The sequence below is a fragment of the Homo sapiens genome, chromosome 5, assembly GCF_000001405.40.
Source record: "Homo sapiens chromosome 5, GRCh38.p14 Primary Assembly".
NCBI lineage: Eukaryota > Metazoa > Chordata > Mammalia > Primates > Hominidae > Homo > Homo sapiens.
In genome coordinates, this window is record NC_000005.10 from 177399910 (window position 1) to 177420783 (window position 20874).

Sequence of the window (20874 nt, forward strand, 5' to 3'; positions counted from 1 at the left end):
GACCCTGGGAACGCGCCAAGGAGCAGCAGTCAGGCCAGGAGCCTCTGCAAGGCGTCCATGGGAGAGCAGGGTGTAGGGCACAGGGGCCTGGCAGCCTCTAGACTCAAAATCCCGGCTCCACCAGGTAACCGTCTTGCAAAGACCAGTTTCCTTATTTACAACTCCCCCCACCGCGCAAGTGGAGGAGGAGCCAGCCGCGCCCAGGTCACAGTTTATTTGGCCCGCGCTACCAGTGGGCGGCCTGGCTGGCCGGCTAGGCGCCCTGCATGCGCAGCCCGCGTATGAGTTCGTGCACCGTCTTGTTGAGGATGCCCCCATGTACGCCGCGTCGGCCCATTAGCACCAGGAGCGCGCGCGGCGCACGGCCCACGCACACGGCGCGCGCGTCCAGCCCCTTGGTGCGTGCGTCCAGCACGCCGTCACCCTCGGCCAGCAGGTGGTCGCGGATGACGCAGCAGCGGCGGCCCCCCACGCTCAGGCCCGCCTGCAGGAAGGTGTGCCTGTCCGGCCCCGTGAGCACGCCCACCTCCTGCGGCGAGATGGCCGCCAGCAGGCCCCCGGGCCGCGAAGCCCACACGCAGCTGTTGTCCGCATGGCCCACGATGGCCACGTCGTCGATGCGCTGGTCCCGCAGCACTGCACTGATGTAGACCTTCCAGTCGCCCATCGCGCTCCGAGTGCGCCCAGCCGCCTCGCACCTCTCGGGGAAATATAGAGGCGCCACGCGGGGAAGGCCTGCGGCGCTGTGAGGCAGGCTGGGCGGGGCTGTGACGTCACACAAGGCGCCGTCCCGGAGCGACCACCCAGGCTGGGGCACGTGGGGCGTGGGCGTTTAGTGCTGTCGCAGTTCTAAGGTTATCCTGTAGGATGGGTTTGGCAGAGCGCAGCGGCTCACTCCTGTAATCCCAGCGCTTTGGGAGGCCGAGGCGGGCGGATCGCTTGAACTCAGTAGCGAGATTATAGTAAACTATTATAGGATCGTGTCGCTGCACGCCAGCCTGAGCCACAGAGCGAGGCCCCGTCTCTAAAAAAGCAAAAACAAATTTTAATTAAAAAAAATTTTTTTGAGATGAGGTCTCACTATGTTGCCCAGGCGGGTCAGGAAGTCTTGAGCTCAAACAATCCTCCCGCCTCAGCCTCTCAAAGTGACGAGATTACAGGCGTGAACCACCGCATCTGGCCAATCTATTTTTAATTTTAAAAAGCTGGTTTTGTGAAAAAAGGATGTTGTGTCTGGACAGCCAGACCTTCACTTGTAAGGGAACCAACCATTCAACCCCCAGATTGTGGTTCTTAAGCATGAGAGAACATCAGAATCCCCCGCAAGGCTGTTAAACAGATTGCTGGGCCCCACCCCAGACTTTCTGTTCAGCAGTATAAAGTGTAGCCCGAGAATTTGTTATGTGTAACAAGTTCCCTGGTGATGGTACTGCTAGCCAAGGGACTCTCAGACCCACTACACTAGTGCGTGTTGGGGTGGGGACAACGATATGTCACCCAGCCCTTAGGGTCCACGCCACAGTCAATGCTCTTTTTTTCTATTTTCTTTTTTCTTTTCTTTCTGTCTCTCTCTTTCCCTCCCTCTGTTCCTTCCTTCCTTCCTTCCTGCCGGTTCAAGTGATTCTCCTGCCTCAGCCTCCTGAGTAGCTGGGACTACAGGCGCACGCCGCCGTGCCCGGCTAATTTCTTGTATTTTAGTAGAGACGGGGTTTCATCGTGTTGCCCAGGCTGGTTTCGAACTCCTGAGCAATCCACCTGCCTTGGCCTCTTAAAGTGCTAGGATTACAGGCGTGAGCCACCGCGCCCGGCCAATGCTAAGTATTTCTAACCACGATTCTCAACCTTGGCTGTACATGGAATTATCTGGGGAGTTTTACAAATATACCACTACCCATGCCCCATCCCTAGACATACTGATTTAATTGGTCTGAGGTGGAACTTGGGCATAGATTGGCTCAAAACGCTCCCCAAGTGATCTTAATGTATGGTCTGAGAACTACTGCTCTGTAAACAAAATGTTAGTTTCTCATAAGGAATAACATGCAGCTTCTCCTTGCACAGGGCTTGGTATACAGTATCCTAGGCTCAGTAAACATTAGCTGGGCTGGCATCTAGATTTTGCACGTTAAGATCTCATAGACCTTGTTCTCTGAGAGCTGTGGAGAAGCTGTGAATCGCTTTTCTGTCTTGGCATTTCCCGGCGGGACCCATGAAGAAAAGAGCTTTCCTTCTCAGCATTTTCAAAGCACTTTATTGAGTTCCTGCGCCATCCTGGCGCGGAGCTGGCCGCACTGGGGGAATGGGACACAATCTTGCCTTCCATGCCCCAGCCACTCTCTCACTGCGGAATCACCAAGGAGGGAAAGATGAGTCCCTGAGCAATCAGGAAACGGTGTGCTCCCGGATCCAGGCCAGGTAGTAGGCCACATCGGTGTAGACGCCTGGCTTGTTGCGGTCACCACAGCCCGATCCCCAGCTGATGATGCCTTGCAGGGTGAGCCGGCGCTCTGCAGCTTGGTCCTCACACACCAGCGGGCCTCCGGAATCACCCTGGGTCGGAAACACGCAGCTCAGCGCTGTGGACCTGAGATTTGTGCCTGACGGCCTCGGGGAAGGGCGCCAACCGGGCTAAGAGCTCACCTGGCACGCATCGGTGCCGCCCTCGAGGAACCCTGCGCAGAGCATGCCGGGGAGGATGGAGGATCCGTGCACGTCCGGGGCTGAGCAGCGCTCCAGGGAGAGGAACGGTACCTGCGCCTCCTGCAGGAAGCTGGCATATTCCTCCGCCCCTGCGAACACAGAGCGCCTTCTTCACACCCCATCTGACAACGCTTGCCGCCCGGACGATGGACAAAGCTGCTCCAGGCGCTTGTAAACCCACTCATGCCCTTCCTCTCTCGCAGCAAGCCCGAAGGGGAGGAGGTGCCATTAATTCAATTTCATAGGCAAGGAGGCTGAGGTCCAGAGAAAAGCCAGGATTTGAATGGGCGGAGCGGAAACAGAAACCCCTCCCCCACCACCCATCCAGAGTCGCAGAACCTGGCTCCCACACTAGCCCGGAGCGCGGGGCCAGCGTCCTAGTTGGCCTTTGCAGCCCGGCGCCCAGAGGGAACCAAGAGCAAGTTCGATTCTCCCTGTATCCCCAGGAGATTTGGGGATCCCAGCAGTGAATCCCAGGCCCTGGGATTCTACCTGGGATTCACCTACACATTCTCACAACCCATCAGGTCAGCGCCACCCATTCTGTAGGCACCCGGAACGATACCAAAGTCGCGGGCTTCTTCCGCCTAACCCAGTGATCAAAGGTCTCCTCCCCTACCCCTGCCCCTAGCAGTTGTGCCTACCCTCGAACTGGTGGCCCCAGCCGGCCACCTGGCAGAGCGTGGTCTCGGAGGGTCGCGCGGCGCCGCTTGGCAGGCACACCGGCTGAACGTAAGGCGACAGGAGCGCGCAGCTGCCGTCCGCATCCTCCTGAAGGCGCAACAGAGCTAACCCGGGCGGAGAGGAGCGTGAGGCGGGGACGCCGGGGCCCCAAGCTCTCTTCCCGTCCCCGCGGGGCGCCCCCACGCACCCAGGTCGTGCTGGTAGCTGACGGGCGAGAAGGCCTCGTGCAAGCGGTAGGAGCGCACGGCCAACGTCTGGCACGGCTCACAGCTGTGGTTACGGCGTTCCTGGCCGAGCACCACCGTCAGATCCTCGGGTGCGGGCCTGCGGGGGGGGTAGGGGAGAGGCAGCGCTCTCAGACCTGGCCACAAGCGTTCTGGGGAAGCCCCCTGCTCCCGAACCCCAATCCCGTGTTCCAGCTTCCTCCCCGGGAGCTCCGGAGGGGCGTGGAAAGAAGGGTGGGGCGGGAGAAGGTAGGGCACGGGTTCGGGTGCAGCGTGGAAGCTGCGCTGGGAGACGGAGGAGCCGCGGCCCCTGGGGCGGCTCTGGGCGGGCGGGTACTCGCCGGTCCTGCAGGCAGTGAGCGGCCGTCAGCACCCAGCAGGGGGCGATGAGGCTGCCGGCGCAGAAACTGTGGCCCCAGTACAGCGCGGCGATGTAGGGGTGCGCCCCGCGTAGCGCCACCAGCCCGCCAACGACGCGGGTCATCGAAGACAGACTCTTGCGGAGCCGCTGCCCGCAGCTCAGTGGGCCGTTCCTGGTCAGGGAAGGCGGCTGCTCCCGCTTCGCCGGCAAGGCTGTGGAGGAGCAGGGGCTGAGGACGGAGAGCCCGCGGCCGGCTGGCCGGAATCTAGCTCGCCCGGCGCCCTCTCGGCTCCTCCTTCCCCCCCCCACTTCCTAACCTCCCGGGGTCTGGGACTGAGGCGGGGTCCGGGTCGTGGGCTGAGGCTTCGGCGGTGCCGGCTGCGCGGGCATGAGTGGGACATGAAGCCTAGGGGACACCGGGGTCGGAGGCGCCGCCTGGGTTGGGGTCTGGCACTGTGCCAGGTCGCAGTACTCCCAGCTCAGCCGGTCGCGGTTCAGCACGAAGCACCACGGGCGGATGTCGTTGTCCGGGTTCCTGTAGCCACACGACGGGGCGCCGTTAGAGCGCCGGGAGCCCGGAGCCCTGGGGCGGAGGGGTCACCCAGCCCCACGCGGCGCACCGGCAGAAGGCGTGGCCGCCCAGTCCCCAGTTCCGCGCTTGCTCGGCAGTCACGTTCCGGTAGGTGGCCTCCGAGGCCCACGGCTGACAGGGCGCACCCGAGAGCGTGGTCCTGGCCAGGCCGCGGTAGCTGAGCCCGCGGCCATCATAGCAGCTTGCCTTGGTGTCTGAGGAGAAAGGGGGCTCCCTGGGCAGCCAAGGCTGGGCTCTCCTGCCTCCCTCTCATCTGCTTTCCGCACTCTCCCTCCTCCTTCCTGGCAAGCCCGTCCCACCTGGGGGCTGGCCTTCTGCTTGCCCCAGACCCTCACTCACCCACGTCGCAGAAGGCTCCGGTGTAGCCCACCGGGCAGTGGCACAGGCGGTGGCCCTCCACCTCTAGGCAGCGACCCCCATGGAGGCACGGGTTGGTGCGGCAGGCTTGGGGAGGGAACGCAGTGAGCCACCCCTGGGCCTAAAGACCCCCCCAGAGAGCTCTCCTTCCTGGCACACCACCCGGCCTCCTGCCAGCCTGTCTTCCTGACGCTCCTCCCTGGCCCGTTCCCAACCATCTGCTCACCCTGGCTGGCCAGCCGCTGGCAGTGGGCATCAGGACCCTTGCACTGGCATCTGGCCACAGCTGCTTGCTCAGTTCTATACCATATCTCATTCTTGTGGAAAAACCGGAGAAGCTGAGGCTCAAAGCACTTCTCTGGGGACAAAGAGGGATAGTGGTCTCAGGAGAGTCTAGGACCATGCCAAGTCTCCGAGTATCCAGCAACCTATTCTGTAGGCCCAGGGTTGCCCCTGTCCCCCAGCACCCCGCCCAGGTCCTCCACATCTCCTCACCTTTCTGGCAGTGGTTTCCAGTGAGGTGTTGTGGACAGAGACAGTGGGGGCCGCTTGGCATGTTCACACAGGTCCCTCCTTTCTGGCAGGGGCTGTGTTTGCTGCAGTGGTCTGAGAGATGGACATGGTGGAAGGAAGAGCAGGGAGCTGAGTCACACAGCTGGGGGCCAAGGCCCTTCTTGAACCTACTTGCCTTGTGACCTTGCTACTCCAAGTTTCCAAGCTTGGTTTACCCACCTGCAAAATGGGACCACTCCTTCCCAGAACTCTCCCTCTGGACTTCCAAAGGGTATTGTGGAGGGAGAGAAGGGGCTGGGTCCAGAATCCCAGGTGTGTGGGGTCTGGTGATACCAGGAGAGTAATGAGGCGGGAGGAGAGAGCCCCAGGCCACCCCAGAGGCTGTGTGTAGCACCTTTCACTTTCTTGGGCTCCAAACAGTATCCCCATCGCTGGTCCTGATCAAAGTTGGGGGTGGTAGCACACCTGTAGAAAGAGACAAGGCTTCCCTGCTCTACCCAGGGGCCTGGCCCACCCTGCCCTATCACAGTCCCCTCTCTCCAAGCAGAGTTCCTTGGACAGAAGGACAGGCAGGGTACATGTCTCCCAGGCCCCTGCTCCAACTCCTCTGCGTAGTCTTACCAGGGCTGAGGGCCTGGCCGGCCCTTGTGGGTACATTTGTGGTACAGCTGCCGGTGGTACTGGAAGGGGAAGTGGCAGGGCTCCCCGGTGACAGTGAGAACTGCAGGGACAACACACTCTCTGAGGACTTCCCCTGTACTCAACTGCTCAGGCACTGTCCCTCAGGGTCTGGTCAGGAAAAGGACAGACCCTCAAAAAGGTCGCTGTGCATTGAAAACACTTTCTGCTCTAAAAGTTGGGTTCAGGGCCGGGCGCGGTGGCTCAAGCCTGTAATCCCAGCACTTTGGGAGGCCAAGGCGGGCAGATCACGAGGTCAGGAGATCAAGACCATCCTGGCTAATACAGTGAAACCCCCTCTCTACTAAAAATACAAAAAAATTAGCTGGGGGTGGTGGCAGGTGCCTGTAGTCCCAGCTACTCGGGAGGCCGAGGCAGGAGAATGGTGTGAACCCGGGAGGCGGAGCTTGCAGTGAGCCGAGATCGCGCCACTGCACTCCAGCCTGGGTGACAGAGTGAGACTCCATCTTAAAGAAAAAAAAAAAAACTTGGGTTCAGGAGTCAGATAGCTGGAGTAGACTCCTGACTCCACAACCTGCTAGCTGTGTGACCTTGGGTAAGTCTTCAGTCCCAAGGCCAGGAAGAGCACTTGCCACAAAGTAGGCACTTAATAATACTTGTTGAATGTTGAAGTCACTGTTAACCACTCTGATCTGAGCCTTGGTTTCCTTATCTGTAAAACGGCAGTAATAATAGTACAGTTGATCCTCATTCTTCTCTGGTTCTACATTGAGAATGTGCCTACTTGCTGAATTTTATTTGTAACTCCCAAGTCAATACTTGAAATGTTTTCATGGCCATTTGTGGGCATGCACAGAGCAGTGAAAAATTTGCACATTCCCAGTTAAGGTTCAACAAGGCGTCACGCTGCTGCTGCTTGTTTCAGCTCTCCTATTGAATGAGTGTCCTTCTCAGTCTACTTAGTGCAACGTTTTTCACACTTTGTGCTTTTGCTGGGGATTTGGCTTTTGGAAATGGCCTCTGAGCCTCCTGCTGAAGAGCTGTGTAGTTCCTAAGCACAAGAAGGCTACCTTAGGGAGAAAGCGTGTGTTAGACACTTGATTCAGGTGTGTGCTATAGTGCCATCAGCTTAGCATTGATGAATCAGCAACACATATACTAAATAAAATGTCTTTAAACAGAATCATACATAAAACCAGATTATATGCTGTTGGTTGATGAAAATGTTGTGACCAGAGGCTCACAGGAACCTAATACTGTTTGCTAGTTCAATGTTCACTGTGATTTTATAGAACATAACCATCGCGAATAATGAGAATTGCCTGTGTCTTCTTCAGAGGAATTGTCGTGGGGCTTCATGAGATAATGCCATGAAATGCTGAGCAGTGTCTGGCACAAAGTACCTGCTCAATAAGCTTTTGCCACTATTTTGTTCAAGGCAAAGTGCACTTGCCAAGGACCAAACCAGAACTAGGACAGTAAATGGAAATGGATCTGAGATGGACCTTTAAGATGCAAATGGGGGCCAGGCGCGGTGGCTCACGCCTGTAATCCCAGCACTTTGGGAGGCTAAGGTGGGCGGACCACCTGAGGGCAGGAGTTCGAGACCAGCCTGGCCAACATGGTGAAACCCTGTCTCTACTAAAAAATACAAAAATTAGCTGAGCATGAAGTTGTGTGCCTGTAATCCCAGCAACTCGGGAGGCTGAGGCAGAGAATCGCTTGAACCCAGGAGGCGGAGGTTGCAATGAGCCAAGATCGCGCCATTGCACTCTAGCCTAGGGGACAGAGCGAGACTCCATCTCAAAAAAAAAAAAAGATGCAGATGGGATGGACGGACAGAGAGGAGGGGGACCTTAGGCAGGGGATTAGGCAAGGATAGGGCACCAAGTTTGGGTAAGGCAAGAGAGAGGAGAAACTTTTGGGTGTGGGGTGAAGAGAGGAGGCTGAGGGAGTCCAGGGTTGGAATGTGCTGGGCCTCAACGCCATGCTTAGAGACTCAACCCCACCAAGTCAGGCCCACCAGGGTAAGGTCCATCTGGTTCACAGGCCCTGCTATGTGCCACACTCTAGGTAAATTTTTTTTTTTTTTTTGAGACGGAGTCTTGCTGTGTTGCCCAAGCTGGAGTGCAATGGTGTGATCTTCGTTCACTGCAACCTTCACCTCCCAGGTTCAAGCAATTCTTCTGCCTCAGCCTCCCGAGTAGCTGGGACTACTGGCGCATGCCACCATGCCTGGCTAATTTTTGTACTTTTAGTAGAGACAGCATTTCACCATGTTGGCCAGGCTGGTCTCGAACTCCTGACCTCATGATCCACCGACCTTGGCCTCCCAAAGTGCTGGGATTACAGGCATGAGCCACCATGCCTGGCATGTAGGTAATTTAGTGTCTGGAAGAATGAAAGCAATGGGGAGCTATGGCAGAGCTTGAGGAAGGGGGAAATGGCAGGTACCCTTCATCTAAAAGGTAGTTTCATAATAAAAGCTAATATTTGTAAAGCATTTCCATGCACCAGGTGATGGGCTGAATACCTCACATGGGTTTCCCTTCTCAACAACCCTAAGAGGTTTACTGTTATCAACCTGGTTTCACAGAAGGGGAAATTGAAGCTTGGAGAACTCAAATCCCTCGCCCAGAGTCACCCAGCTCATAAGTGATAAAGCTGGGCTTCAGAGGCATTCAGATGCCAGAGACAAGCTCTTGATCCTTCCTTGCCCATTGAAGGCCCTGGCCTCTGTGTGGCATGAATGATGCCCATGAGACGTACTGGGGAAAGGAAAAGAAGGGGAGAAGCTGGGGAAACTGAGGAAGGCTGGCAGGAGCCCAGGTGTGATGGCGCCAGCAGCACATATCTCAAGCACCTGCTCCGAGCCAGGCTCGTGGGCACTTAGACACAGCCCATACCCTGCCCTCAAGGATCACACAGCTCACGATCACTCTAGTGCCCATGGGCATAAGACCTAGCACCAGGTAGGCACTAGACTAGACTGCCCTGAGACTGCACACACTGCACCATACACATCCCCACCCAAGGGTTCCCGGGAGGAGGAGCCAGGCCACTTACCGACTGTGTGCTCTTCAGCTTTGTACTTATGCTCCTTGGGGGCTTCCCAAGGTGGAATCTACAAGGGAGAGAAGAAGGCAGGGAACTGACTATAAGTCATAGCCTGCCACCGATCTGTTGCTAGTCTGCAGCTTCCTCTCACAGCCCAGAAATGCAGAGATTTCTTCCCAAGACCCAAACCCTTTCTACCTCCCCCCGTTGTCTTCTTAAGGCCCATCTCCCCCAGAAATGCAGGCTGTGCCCTTGTATCCACCCAGTCTGGTTGTCTGTCTCCTCTGCCTGGGCCTTCCGGGCTGGCCTCACCTTTCCACATAGGCCTCCTAGTCACCTGGACCCACAGGTCATGAGCAGAGGCCATGGCTCATGGCTGTGATAGCGACCCCCCAGAACAATCCTGGGACAATCCTGGTTCCCACAGCACTCACCGAAAGTGTTGACTCCAAGCTCACCAGCAGGAACCCCAGGAGCAGCAGAGCCCTCATGGCATCCGTCCGTTGGTCCAGCTGCCTATCCAGGAGTCCAGATCAATAGGACTGGCCAAAGGTCTTGGAAATAGAGATTGGTCAAGCTGCCCTCCTGAGCCTGGTGGGGCACAGGCTGTTTGTGGAAAGCCAAGTGGAGCAACTTCCTTGGTCACCCCTTGAGGGCCGGAAAGTTGGGAGTTTGTGGGTGGGGGTGAAATGAAGAGCTGGGCTCCTCCTCTCTTTTCTAGATAGTGGGACTGGAAGCAGAAGAAGGGACATTCTTATGCTCTGGGTCCTGTGGAGATCAGGAGGTTAAGGAGATCAAAGATCATGGGGATCTTGGAGTCCACTGTGAAGTGTGTTCATTTTCTATTGTCATGTAACAAACTACCATAAACTCAGCATCTTACAACAATACCCACTTTTAATTTTCTTTTTTTTTTTTTTTTTTTTGAGACGGAGTCTCGCTCTGTCGCCCAGGCTGGAGTGCAGTGGCGCAATCTCCGCTCACTGCAAGCTCCGCCTCCCGGGTTCACGCCATTCTCCTGCCTCAGCCTCCCGAGTAGCTGGGACTACAGGAGCCCACCACCACGCCCAGCTAATTTTTTGTCTTTTTAGTAGAGACGGGGTTTCACCATGTTAGCCAGGATGGTCTCGATCTCCTGACCTCGTGATCCACCCGCCTCGGCCTCCCAAAGTGCTGGGATTACAGGCCTGAGCCACTGCACCGGGCCATGTGTCGCCTTTTAAGAACTCACCTGACTAGGTCAGGCCCACCAAAGCCATTCTCCTTTTTTTTTTTTTTTTTGAGACAGAGTCTGGCTCTGTCACCCAGGCTGGAGTGCAGTGGCACGATCTTGGCTCACTGCAAGCTACGCCTCCCGGGTTCACGCCATTCTCCTGCCTCAGCCTCCTGGGTAGCTGGGAATACAGGCACCCGCCACCACGCCCAGCTAATTTTTTGTATTTTTAGTAGAGATGGGGTTTCACTGTGTTAGCCAGGATGGTCTCGATCTCCTGACCTCGTGATCTGCCCGCCTTGGCCTCCCAAAGTGCTGGGATTACAGGTATGAGCCACCATGCCTGGCCCTGCCATTCTCCTTATTTTAAGGTCAAACAATTTGGGACTTAAATTACATGTGCAAAATTCTTTCACAGAAGCATCTACATTCATGTTTGACAGAATAACTGGGAGGTGTGCAAACACCAGGGGTAGAGATCTTGGGGCCATCTTAGCATTCTACCAACCACAGGAAGTGAGGCAAGAAAGCAAATGATTTAATGAGAAAAGTGCTAAACCAAGGGGCACTAAGATGTGCAGCTGGAACATGAGAAGAAGACGGGGTGCACATGTGCTGCCCAGCATCTGTCCTGGTTCGGTAATGACACTTTGATTTTTCCTTTAGCAACGACTCCTCTCTTACTTCTTCCATGGGCTCTAGTGCTGCCAACTCTACCCTCAGAGCTAGGGCTAGAGATGTGGCCTAGGTCTGGTCAATCAGAGCATGACATCTCTAATCCACAGTGATTGGTTCAGAGATAAGCATATACACAATTTAGGCCAATTAAAGTGCTAGCTTGGGACTTTTGCCAGAACTTTTGGGAAAGCAAAAAAGTTGCACTGGGGTTACTAAGCACAGAGCATGTGGGTCTGAACACATTGATGATCACCTTTGTCACTCTCTAGGGAGGGCCTGTTTGAGAATGAAGCCTACACATAGGAAAAGCAAAGCAAACAGGGCAGGAAGGATGGAAAGATGCTGTGGTAGACAGCCTCAAAGACAGCCCCCATTGATCCTCACCACCTAGGATTCATGCCCTTGTATGGTGTCTTCCCACATTGAGTTAGGGCTGTTCTGTGTGTCCATCAGAATATGACAGAAGTGGCTGGGTGTGGTGGCTCACACCTGTAATCCCAGCACTTTGGGATGCCAAGGCAGGCAGATCACTCTAGGTCAGGAGTTCAAGACCGGCCTGGCCAACGTGTTGGCCAAACCCCATCTCTATGAAAAATACAAAAATTAGCCGGGCGTAGTGGCGTGTGCCTGTAATCCCAGCTACCCGTGAGGCTGAGGCAGGAGAATCGCTTGAACCCAGGAAGTGGAGGTTGTAGTGAGCAGAGATTGTGCCATTGCACTCCAGCCTGGGCGACAGGGACTGTCTCAAAAAAAAAAAAAATATGGCAGAAGTGAGGGTGTTGGACTTCCAAGCCCAGGTCATAAAAGACATTGCAGTTTCTGCCTCGGTCTCTTAGGTTGCTCACTCTGGAGGAAGCCAGCCACTGTGTTGTGAGGACACACATGCAGCCCTGCAGAGAAGCCCATGTAGGGAGAAAGGAAAGCACCCTGCTGACAGCCAGTGCCAATTGGACAGCCACATGAATAAGCTGCCTTGGAAGTGGATACTGCAGCCCTCGCTGACATTTGGCTTGCAATCTTATGAAAGACCTCAAGGCAAAACTGACCATCAGAAACTGTGATAAATCATCATTAAATGTTGTTGCTTTAAGCCACAAGTTAGGGTGATTTGTTACACGACATTTGAGAACTAGTACTGATGGATTGATTTCTCATGACTTTGAGAGCCTACATCCTAAAACTAGAAGTATCCTTAAGACTTGGTCAGTTATGGCTAGGCACAGTGGCTCACGCCTGTAATCCCAACACTCTGGGAGGCTGGGGATCACTTGAGGATCACTTGAGCCCAGGAGTTCCAGACTGATGTAGGCAACATAGTGAGATCCCATCTCTCCAAAAAAATTTAACATTAGCCAGGCATGGTGGCGCGTGCCTGTAGTTCCGGCTACTTGTGAGTCTGAGGCAGGAGGATTGCTTGAGCCCAGAGGTCCAAAATGCTGTGAGCCGTGATTGTGCCACTGCACTCCAGTCTGGGAAGCAGACTGAGACTGTATCTCCAAAAAAAAAAAAAAATAGACTTCTCAGTTATATGAGCCAATAAAACCAATTTGAGTGGACTTCTGTCACTTTCAGTTATACAAAGTCCTAAGTTATACAAAGTAATTTATGGGAAATGAAGACTGAGTGTAGCAATTTATTAATTCTGCTGGAAGAGAGGCAGGCTGTGGAAGACTTCTTGGAACAGAAACACAGAAAGAGGAGGGCAGGAGAGGAGGGGCACCTTTCCAACCACTGGTTTCAAAGGTAACTGGTTTCAAAGTCATTGACGTGACAGCTGTTAACTCCATGATGAAAGTGAAACTATTAGATATATTGACGAGTCATTAAAGCGAAACTACCTTTGTCACCTTTTTTGTTGTTTCAAAGAGACTCGGTCTTATTAAGTTGCCCAGGCTAGCCTGGAACTTCTGGGCGCAAGTGATCCTCTCGCTTCATCCTCCTGAATAGCTGGGATTACAGGTTCATGCCATCATGCCTGGCTCTGTCAGTTCTTGATTGCTCCTGAGTATAGACCCTGGCCCTAAGGCCACTCCCACATTGGCTCCTTCCTCTTGGGGAGAAGGCAGCTGTTCCTCTACATGGAAGGGGCCTTTTGAACAGGTCTTCGCCACAAGTAGGGGTTTGCAGGCAGAGTGAGTAATACAACTGCACAGAAGCCTGAATGCAGCGTGTCAAATGGGGAATGTGGTGAGCATAAGGTGCCTTGTAGGGAGTGTGAGATGAGGTGTCAGGTGGACATTAATGGTCATTTGGATGTTCAACATCCATCTCCCTTCCTCTTCCTCTCCCAGTTTCATTTTGTGATCACCCCTCCCCAGCTGTGGTGGTGAAAGGGTACTTTATTATTATTTTTATTTAGTTATTTATTTGAGATGGAGTCTCGCGCTGTCGCCCAAACTGGACTGCCATGGTGCGATCTCGGCTCACTACAACCTCCACCTCCCAGGTTCAAGTGATTCTCCTGCCTCAGCCTCCCAAGTAGCTGCCATTACAGGCCCACGCCACCATGCCCGGCTAATTTTTTGTCTCCTTAGTAGAGACCAGGGCTTCACCATGTTGGCCAGGTTGGTCTCGAACTCCTGACCTCATGATCTGCCCACCTCGGCCTCCCGAAGTGCTGGAATTACAGGCGTGAGCCACCACACCCGGCTGAAAGGGTACTTTCTAGAGACCATCTCCACTATGGAAGCCTAATGGACCAGACCAACCTCTCCCTACCATAGTATAGCCAGAGGGACCTAAACTCAGCCAATAGTGTTTTCTCCCAGGGCTCTGAATCCTGATCAAGCCACACAAGGATGGCAGGAAAAGCTGGAGGTCTGGCATTGCACCACCTGTGCCCTGACCAAATCATCCCGGCTACATGGCATTAAGTCAGGATGCCTTCCAAAAACCAAGCATATGCAGTAGGGCAATTCGAATTCATCATCCCATGTCACCAGATGTCTGGAGCAGCAGGACTCCAGGAACAGTGCTTTCAGTGGTTCAACAATGTCATCAAGAACCCAAGTTCTTTCTTTTTTTGTTTGTCTTCTGTGTGCAGACCTTCAGGCTGCCTGCCCTCATGGTCACAAGATGGCTGTCACAGCTCCAGGAATCACACTTCAACTCAATTATGTTCAAGCAAAGAAGAGGCACCTTCCCTTCCACTAGCTCCTTCTTAGGAATGAGGAACCCTCCCTCAAATCTCAAGCAGACCTCTCCTCATGCTTTCTTAGCTAGAACAGGCTCACATGACATCCCTAAGCCATGTTTGGCAAGGAAAAGGGGATCCCCATCACTGGCCTAAACCTATTAACCCTGGATCTGGGTCAGAGGCATGTGAGGTAAAGTGGCCACTGGAACAGAACTGGGACTCTGCAAACAGGGAAGAGCGGTGGCATGGATATTAGGTGGACAACTTCCGTGTCTGCTCAAGGGAAATCACTGTACTTCCTGCTTCCTAGTCTTCCAGTGGCTCTTAATTCCTGCACATTTCCAAGCCTATTCCTTCGAGCTGATGCCGTGAACTCCCGAAGACCTTCTCACAAAGTAAATTCCCTTTTGTTGAAGCAGCTAGAGTCATTTTCTGTTGCTTGCAACCAAGAGCTCTCTCTTCCTCATGCTCCCAGCCTACTTAGCCACCTAGTTCTGTTCATTCCACTATTTAAATATTTTTCTTTTTTTTCTTTTTTGAGGCAGGGTGTCAGTCTGTTGCTCAGGCTAGAGTGCAGTGACGTGATCATGGCTCACTGCAGCCTTAGCATCCCAGGCTCTAAGCAATCCTCCCACCTCAGCCTCCTAAGTAGCTGGGATACAGACGTGCAGCACCACACCCAGCTAATTTTTTAATTTTTTGTAGAGGTGAGGTGTCACTGTGTTCCCCAGGTTGGTCTCAAACTCCTGGGCTCAAGCTATCTCCTCAACCTCAGCTTCCCAAAGTGCTGAGATTACAGGTATGAGCCACCGCACCAGGCTACATAAATATTTCTCAAATCTCTCCATCTCTCTCAATTTCTACTGCCCCTTCTTTGACTTCCAGAAAATTCAAGGTAGCTACAGCTGTGAAACATAATTTGAGAGCCTGTGATGGATGTCTATCATTTCCTGTTTACCATTCATTCTCCCTGCTTCTAGAAATGGCCCTCATTGTTTCTTTGGGGAATCGCTCCTCCCCACCCTGCGTCAATATACATAAAATAAAGCCTACCCTATCCCTTGGCTGAGGGTGGAGTGGGCATTTGATCTAGACCTGGCCAATCGGAACACCACCTCTGTCTTCAGCGATTGGTTCAAATGAACACCTGAATTAGGTGGGCGTGGTGGTGCACGCCTGTGGTCCCAGCTACCTAGGAGGCTGAGGTGGGATGATGGCTTGAGCCTAGAAGGCAGAGGTTGCAGTGAGCCAAGATCGCACCACTGCACTCTAGCCTGGACGACAGAGCCAGACTCTATCTCAAAAGAAAAAAAAAAAGAACACCTAACCCACATCGAACCAGTGAGAGGCAGCCCCAGGATTTTTGCTGGAATTATAAAGCTAGAGGCCTTCTCTTTCCATGGAGGTTGTCACATTCCTAACAAATGAGCCTGGAGCTGCTGGCAGCCATCTTTAACATCTCAGAGGGAGAACCTACCTGAGAATAAAGATAATAAAGATTAAAAGCAGAGCCAGGGTATGGGCGCTGGGTGCAGTGGCTCACGCCTGTATTCCCAGCACTTTGGGAGGCTGAGGTGGATGGATCATCTGAGGTCAGGAGTTCGAAACCAGCCTGGCCAACATGGTGAAACTCTGCCTGTACTAAAAATACAAAAAAATTAGCCGGGTGTAGTGGCGCGCCTGTAACCCCAGCTACCTGGGAGGCTGAGGCAGGAGAATTGTTTGAACCTGGGAGGCAGAGGCTGCAGTGAGCTGAGATTGCATCACTGCACTCCAGACTGGCAAAAGAGTAAGACTCCGTCTCAAAAAAAAAAAAAAAAAAAGAGTGGAGCCAGGGTATGAAAAAGACAGATTTTAGGCCGGGCATCGTGGCTCACGTCTGTAATCCCAGCACTTTGGGAGGCCAAGGCGGGTGGATCACGAGGTCAAGAGATCGAGACCATCCTGGCCAACATGGTGAAACCCCGTCTCTACTAAAAAAAAAAAAAAAAAAAAAAATTAGCCTGGAGTGGTGGCACGCAACTGTAATCCCAGCTACTCAGGACGCTGAGGCAGGAGAATTGCTTGAACCAGGGAGGCAGAGGTTGCAGTGAGCCGAGATTGCGCCACTCCACTCCGGCCTGGTGACAGAGTGAGACTCCATCTCAAAAAAAAAAAAAGAAAAAGAAAAAGAAAAAGACAGATTTTGAATGACACCATTTGAGACCCAGCATCCAGAGACGCTTGAAGTCAGAACCACCACCTATGCTTTTCTGTTACCTGAACCCCAAAATTCCTTTTTTTGCCTGAGCTAATTTTAGTTTCAACCAAAAGTCCTAACTTATGCTGCCAGACTTCATACACTGTTACCAGGAAGTTCCCAAAACAAAACAAAACAAAACAAACCCCTTCATGTGATCATGATGGGTAAGTCAGTAGTTTAAAGGACGGGAAAATACTGACCTTAGAAGCAGGGTAGGGAAGCACTGGACTTGAGTCAGGAAGGCTTCCACTCCCACCTTGGCCACCGCCCCGCAGTGTGATGACGGCTAAGGAGCTCGGCCTCTCTCAATCTGCATTGCCACATCTCTGTAGGGAGGGATGGGCACTCATGCTGTCTGGTAGACTTGTTGAGGTGTTTGAATGGGATTGCATGTGAAAAGGCAGAGCCTGGCGTGTGGTTGGAGCTCAATCCATAGAGGTGTACAAAGAAACTTTCCAATGTGGATACATTTTTCTCTATAATTTCTGCACACTTGTCCCCAGATCTTCTTGCACATCTGGCTGTCTTCCACCAATTGCTGTAGACCAGAGCAGAAAGGCAGTGTCCCCTTGACCTGGCTTCTGTCTTTCTGCAGCTGGGCGGTGGGTCCATGGGATGAGAAACCATTGAGTCCTGCTCACAGGTTTCTGGATACACACAGACACACACAAATCCCCTTCCTCTTTATTTTTATTTTTTTGAGACAGAGTCTCGCTCTGTCTCCCAGGCTGGAGTGCAATGGCACGATCTCGGCTCACTGCAACCTTCGCCTCCCAGGTTCAAGCGATTCTCCCTCAGCCTCCTGAGTAGCTGGGATTACATGCACCTGCCACCACATCCAGCTAATTTTTGTATTTTTGGTAGAGACGGGGTTTCACCATGTTGGTCAGGATGGTCTCAAATTCCTGACCTTGTGATCTGCCCACCTCGGCCTCCTGAAGTGCTGGGATTACAGGTGTGAGCCACCATGCCCGGCCCCCACTTCCTCTTTAGCAGGGACTTGGGACATAGATTTCATGTGGTTGCAGAACTGCCTGTTCAAGGAGACGTTGGGGGGATCAGAAGGTACCCAGCCTGCCATCCTTCACACCTTGGCTGGTGGTACTGTTGCTTCCCCAGTCAGACTGTTGAACTGTTGAGATACAGTCTTTTTTTTTTTTTGAGATGGAGTCTCGCTCTTGTCGCCCAGGCTGGAGTGCAATGGCACGATCTTGGCTCACTTCAACTTCCGCCTCCCGGGTTCAAGCAATTCTCCTGCCTCAGCCTCCCAAGTAGCTGGGATTACAGGTGCCTGCCACCACACCCGCCTAATTTTTGTATTTTTAGTAGAAACGGTTTTCACCATGTTGGCCAGGCTGGTCTTGAACTCCTGACTTCAGGTGATCCACCCACCTCGCCCTCCCAAAATGCTGGGATTACAGGCATGAGCCACCGCACCCGGCCAAATTTAATTAATTTAAGTAGCCACATGTGACTAGGTGCTACCATGTTGGACAGTGCAGCTCCTGATGGAAGCAGGAAGAAGCTCAGCGTGTGGCTGCTGGTGCACACCGAATGAGAAGGAGAGGGCATGAAATAACGCTGGAGAGGGAAGCAGGGCCCGGATCAAGTTGGGCCATTGTGGGCCACGGGGAAGAACATAGGGTTTTTAACATTTTAATTGTTTATTTTTTGTAGAGCTAAGTCTCACTATGTTGTTGCCCAGGCTGGCCTTGAAATCCTAGGATCAAGTGAGCCTCCCACCTCATCCTCCCAAGTAGCTGGGACTACAGGAGGTTTTTTTAAATTATTATTTATTTATTTATTTATTTTTTTGGAGACAGTTCTTGCTCTGTTACCCAGGCTGGAGTGCAATGGTATGATCATGGCTCACTGCAGCCTCAAGGAGGTTTTATTTTTTAAGTGTAATGAGAAGTGTATTAATTATCTATGGCTGCATAACAAATTGTCCCAAAATTTAGCAGCTTAAAATGACATTTATGGAGACTGATTTCAATGATAACTCCAGTTCTCTCACGTGGGCCAGCCTCACATCAATTAAACTCTTTTTTTTTTTTTTTTTTTGAGACAGAGTCTCGCTCTGTTGCCTAGGCTGGAGTGTATAGTGACACGATTTTGGCTCACTGCAACCTCTGCCTCCTAGGTTCAAGGGATTCTCCTGCCTCAGCCTCCCAAGTAGTTGGGACTACAAGTGCCCACCACAACACCTGGCTAATTTTTATATTTTTAGTAGAGATGGGGTTTCACTATGTTGGCGAGGCTAGTCTCGAACTCCTGACCTCATGATTGGCCTGCCTTGGCCTTCCAAAGTGCTGGGATTACAGGCGTGAGCCACTGCTCCTGGCCAATTAAGCTTTTATTTTATTTTTTTGAGACAGAGTTTCTCTCTTGTTGCCCAGGCTGGAGTGCAATGGCACGATCTCGGCTCACCGCAACCTCTGCCTCCCGGGTTCAAGCAATTCTCCCGCCTCAGCCTCCTGAGTCGCTGGGATTACAGGCATGTGCCACCACGCCTGGCTAATTTTGTATTTTTAGTAGAGATGGGGTTTCTCTATATTGGTCAGGCTGGTCTTGAACTCCTGACCTCAGGTGATCCACCCACCTTGGCGTCCCAAAGTGCTGGGATTACAGGTGTGAGCCACCACTCCCGGCCATAAACTCTTTTTAAAAAAGATATTTATGGGTCACAGTTTCTATGGGTCAGGAACCCGGCACTTTTTAACTGAGTGCCACTGGATCAGCATCTCTCACAAGGCTGCATCGGAGGGTCAGCTGAGGCTGCCGGGGGAAGGATCCACTTCCAAGTTCACTTACAAAGCTGTTGGCTAGAGACATCAGTTGCCTGCCACATAGGGTCTCTCCATCTCACAACCTAACAGGTGGTTTCTCTCAGACTGAGCCAGTGAGGGAGCAAGAGGAGTTACGTAAGATGGTAGCCACAATCTTTTAGTAATCTCATGTTGGAAATGACATTCCATCACTTTGGCTGCATTCCTTCCATTGGAAGTGAGTCAAGCTGGGTGCCATGGCTCATGCCTGTAATCCCAAGACTTTAGGAGGCCAGGGAGGGAGGATTGCTTGAGCCAGGAGTTTGAGACCAGCCTGGGCAACAGAGGGAGACCCTATCTCTACAAAAAAATTAATTAGTTGGGTATGGTGGCATGCGCATGTAGTCCCAGCTACTCGGGAGGCTGATGTAGGCTGATCGATTGGGCCCAGGAGGTGGAGGCTGCAGTAAGCTGTGATCGAGCCTGAGTGACAGAGCAAGACCCTGTCTCTTAGGGAAAAAAAACGTGGCCCGGCCCAGTGGCTCACGCCTGAAATCCCAGCACTTTGGGAAGCCGAAGCAGGCAGATCACCCAAGGTCAGGAGTTTGAAACCAGCCTGGCTAACATGGTGAAACCTCATCTATACTAAAAATACAAAAATTAACCAGGCGTAGTGGGCAGCGCCTGTAATCCCAGCTACTCCGGAGGCTGAGGCAGGAGAATTGCTTAAACCCGGGAGGCGGAGTTTGCAGTGAGCCGAGATTGCACCACTGCACTCCAGCCTGGGCGACAGAGCGAGACTCTGAAAAAAAGAAAAGGCCGGGGGCAGGCCAGGCCTGGTGGCTCACGCCTGTAATCCCAGCACTTTGGGAGGCAGAGATGGGCAGATCACTTGAGGTCAGGAGTTCAAAACCAGCCTGGCCAACATGGTGAAACCCCATCTCTACAAAAATTAACTGGGCGTAGTGGCACGCGCCTGTAGTCCCAGCTACTCGGGAGGCTGAGGCAGGAGAATTGCTTGAACCTGGGAGGCAGAGGTTGCAGTGAGTGGAGATCAAGCCACCGTACTCCAGCCTGGCAACAGAGCGAGACTTCCACAGAGCGAGACTCCATCTCAAAAACAAAAAAAAAGAAAAAAAGAAAAAGAAAAAATGCCGGGTGTAGTGGCTCACACCTGTAATCCCAGCACTTTGGGAGACCGAGACGGGCGGATCAGGAGTTTGAGACCAGCCTGGCCACATGGTGAAACCCCGTCTCTACTAAAAATACAAAAAATTAGCCAGGCGTGGTGGTGAGTGCCTTTAATTCCAGCTACCCGGGAGGCTGAGGCAGGAGAATTGCATGAACCCAGGAGGTGGAGGTTGCAGTGAGCTGAGATCATGCCATTGCACCCCAGCCTGGGTAAGGAGAGCAAAACTCCATCTCAAAAAAAAAAAAAGTGAGTCAGGAGGTCCACCTGACACTTAAGGGGATCTTAAGGCTGTGAATACCAGGAAGAAGCAGAGATCCACGGACCAGGAAGAAGCAGAGATCCACGGACCAGGAAGAAGCAGAGATCCACGGACCAGGAAGAAGCAGAGATCCACGGACCAGGAAGAAGCAGAGATCCACGGACCAGGAAGAAGCAGAGATCCGTGGTGGCAGGGGTACCTTAGAGGTTGCCTACCACAGGCAGCCACTGGAGAGTTCTGAGTAAGAGTGACAGGATCC

The 20874-nt window shown here is 53.0% G+C and overlaps 2 protein-coding genes across 3 annotated transcripts, besides 6 other annotated features; both read right to left on the reverse strand.

Annotated features, from left to right (window-relative positions):
- On the reverse strand, positions 200-752 carry PFN3 (profilin 3). The gene has a single exon (NM_001029886.3). It carries the CDS (start codon positions 665-667, stop codon positions 254-256), a length of 414 nt encoding a protein of 137 aa, NP_001025057.1. The 5' UTR covers positions 668-752; the 3' UTR covers positions 200-253.
- Positions 2061-2918: an enhancer, noted in NCBI's record as "H3K4me1 hESC enhancer chr5:176828971-176829828 (GRCh37/hg19 assembly coordinates)". NCBI's record gives its function as "activates a minimal SCP1, AML or CMV promoter by ChIP-STARR-seq in naive H9 embryonic stem cells {active_cell/tissue: H9 hESC(naive)}" and the evidence as "EXISTENCE:reporter gene assay evidence [ECO:0000049][PMID:30033119]".
- On the reverse strand, positions 2232-9655 carry F12 (coagulation factor XII). 2 transcript variants are annotated; one of them, NM_000505.4, is made up of 14 exons: positions 9562-9655; positions 9137-9194; positions 6053-6152; positions 5826-5896; positions 5414-5524; positions 5145-5276; positions 4901-5005; positions 4590-4755; positions 4287-4504; positions 3950-4181; positions 3572-3708; positions 3345-3488; positions 2641-2789; positions 2232-2550 (listed from the first exon to the last, which is right to left on the reverse strand). In NM_000505.4, exons 1-14 carry the CDS (start codon positions 9616-9618, stop codon positions 2383-2385), a joined length of 1848 nt encoding a protein of 615 aa, NP_000496.2. In that variant the 5' UTR covers positions 9619-9655; the 3' UTR covers positions 2232-2382. The 2 variants fall into 2 exon arrangements, with proteins under 2 accessions (NP_000496.2, XP_011532764.1); XM_011534462.3 differs by lacking the exons at positions 5826-5896; positions 6053-6152; positions 9137-9194; positions 9562-9655 and adding an exon at positions 5651-5819.
- Positions 3775-4632: an enhancer, noted in NCBI's record as "H3K27ac-H3K4me1 hESC enhancer chr5:176830685-176831542 (GRCh37/hg19 assembly coordinates)". NCBI's record gives its function as "activates a minimal SCP1, AML or CMV promoter by ChIP-STARR-seq in naive H9 embryonic stem cells {active_cell/tissue: H9 hESC(naive)}" and the evidence as "EXISTENCE:reporter gene assay evidence [ECO:0000049][PMID:30033119]".
- Positions 3775-4727: a biological region, named in NCBI's record as "H3K27ac-H3K4me1 hESC enhancer GRCh37_chr5:176830685-176831542".
- Positions 3918-3967: a silencer, noted in NCBI's record as "silent region_16683". NCBI's record gives its function as "represses an Ori minimal core promoter by ATAC-STARR-seq in GM12878 lymphoblastoid cells {active_cell/tissue: GM12878}" and the evidence as "EXISTENCE:reporter gene assay evidence [ECO:0000049][PMID:35858748]".
- Positions 3998-4047: a silencer, noted in NCBI's record as "silent region_16684". NCBI's record gives its function as "represses an Ori minimal core promoter by ATAC-STARR-seq in GM12878 lymphoblastoid cells {active_cell/tissue: GM12878}" and the evidence as "EXISTENCE:reporter gene assay evidence [ECO:0000049][PMID:35858748]".
- Positions 4398-4727: a silencer, noted in NCBI's record as "silent region_16685". NCBI's record gives its function as "represses an Ori minimal core promoter by ATAC-STARR-seq in GM12878 lymphoblastoid cells {active_cell/tissue: GM12878}" and the evidence as "EXISTENCE:reporter gene assay evidence [ECO:0000049][PMID:35858748]".

Excerpts from the sequence above, each read along its gene's own strand:
- PFN3 (NM_001029886.3), bottom strand. The coding sequence starts at position 667 with ATGGGCGACTGGAAGGTCTACATCAGTGCAGTGCTGCGGGACCAGCGC.
- F12 (NM_000505.4), bottom strand. The coding sequence starts at position 9,618 with ATGAGGGCTCTGCTGCTCCTGGGGTTCCTGCTGGTGAGCTTGGAGTCA. Across the intron at positions 3,489-3,571 it reads CAGCTACCAGCACGACCTGG|CTCTGTTGCGCCTTCAGGAG; the intron begins GTGCGTGGGGGC and ends CGCCCGGGTTAG. Across the intron at positions 2,790-3,344 it reads CTGGGGCCACCAGTTCGAGG|GGGCGGAGGAATATGCCAGC; the intron begins GTAGGCACAACT and ends CTGTGTTCGCAG.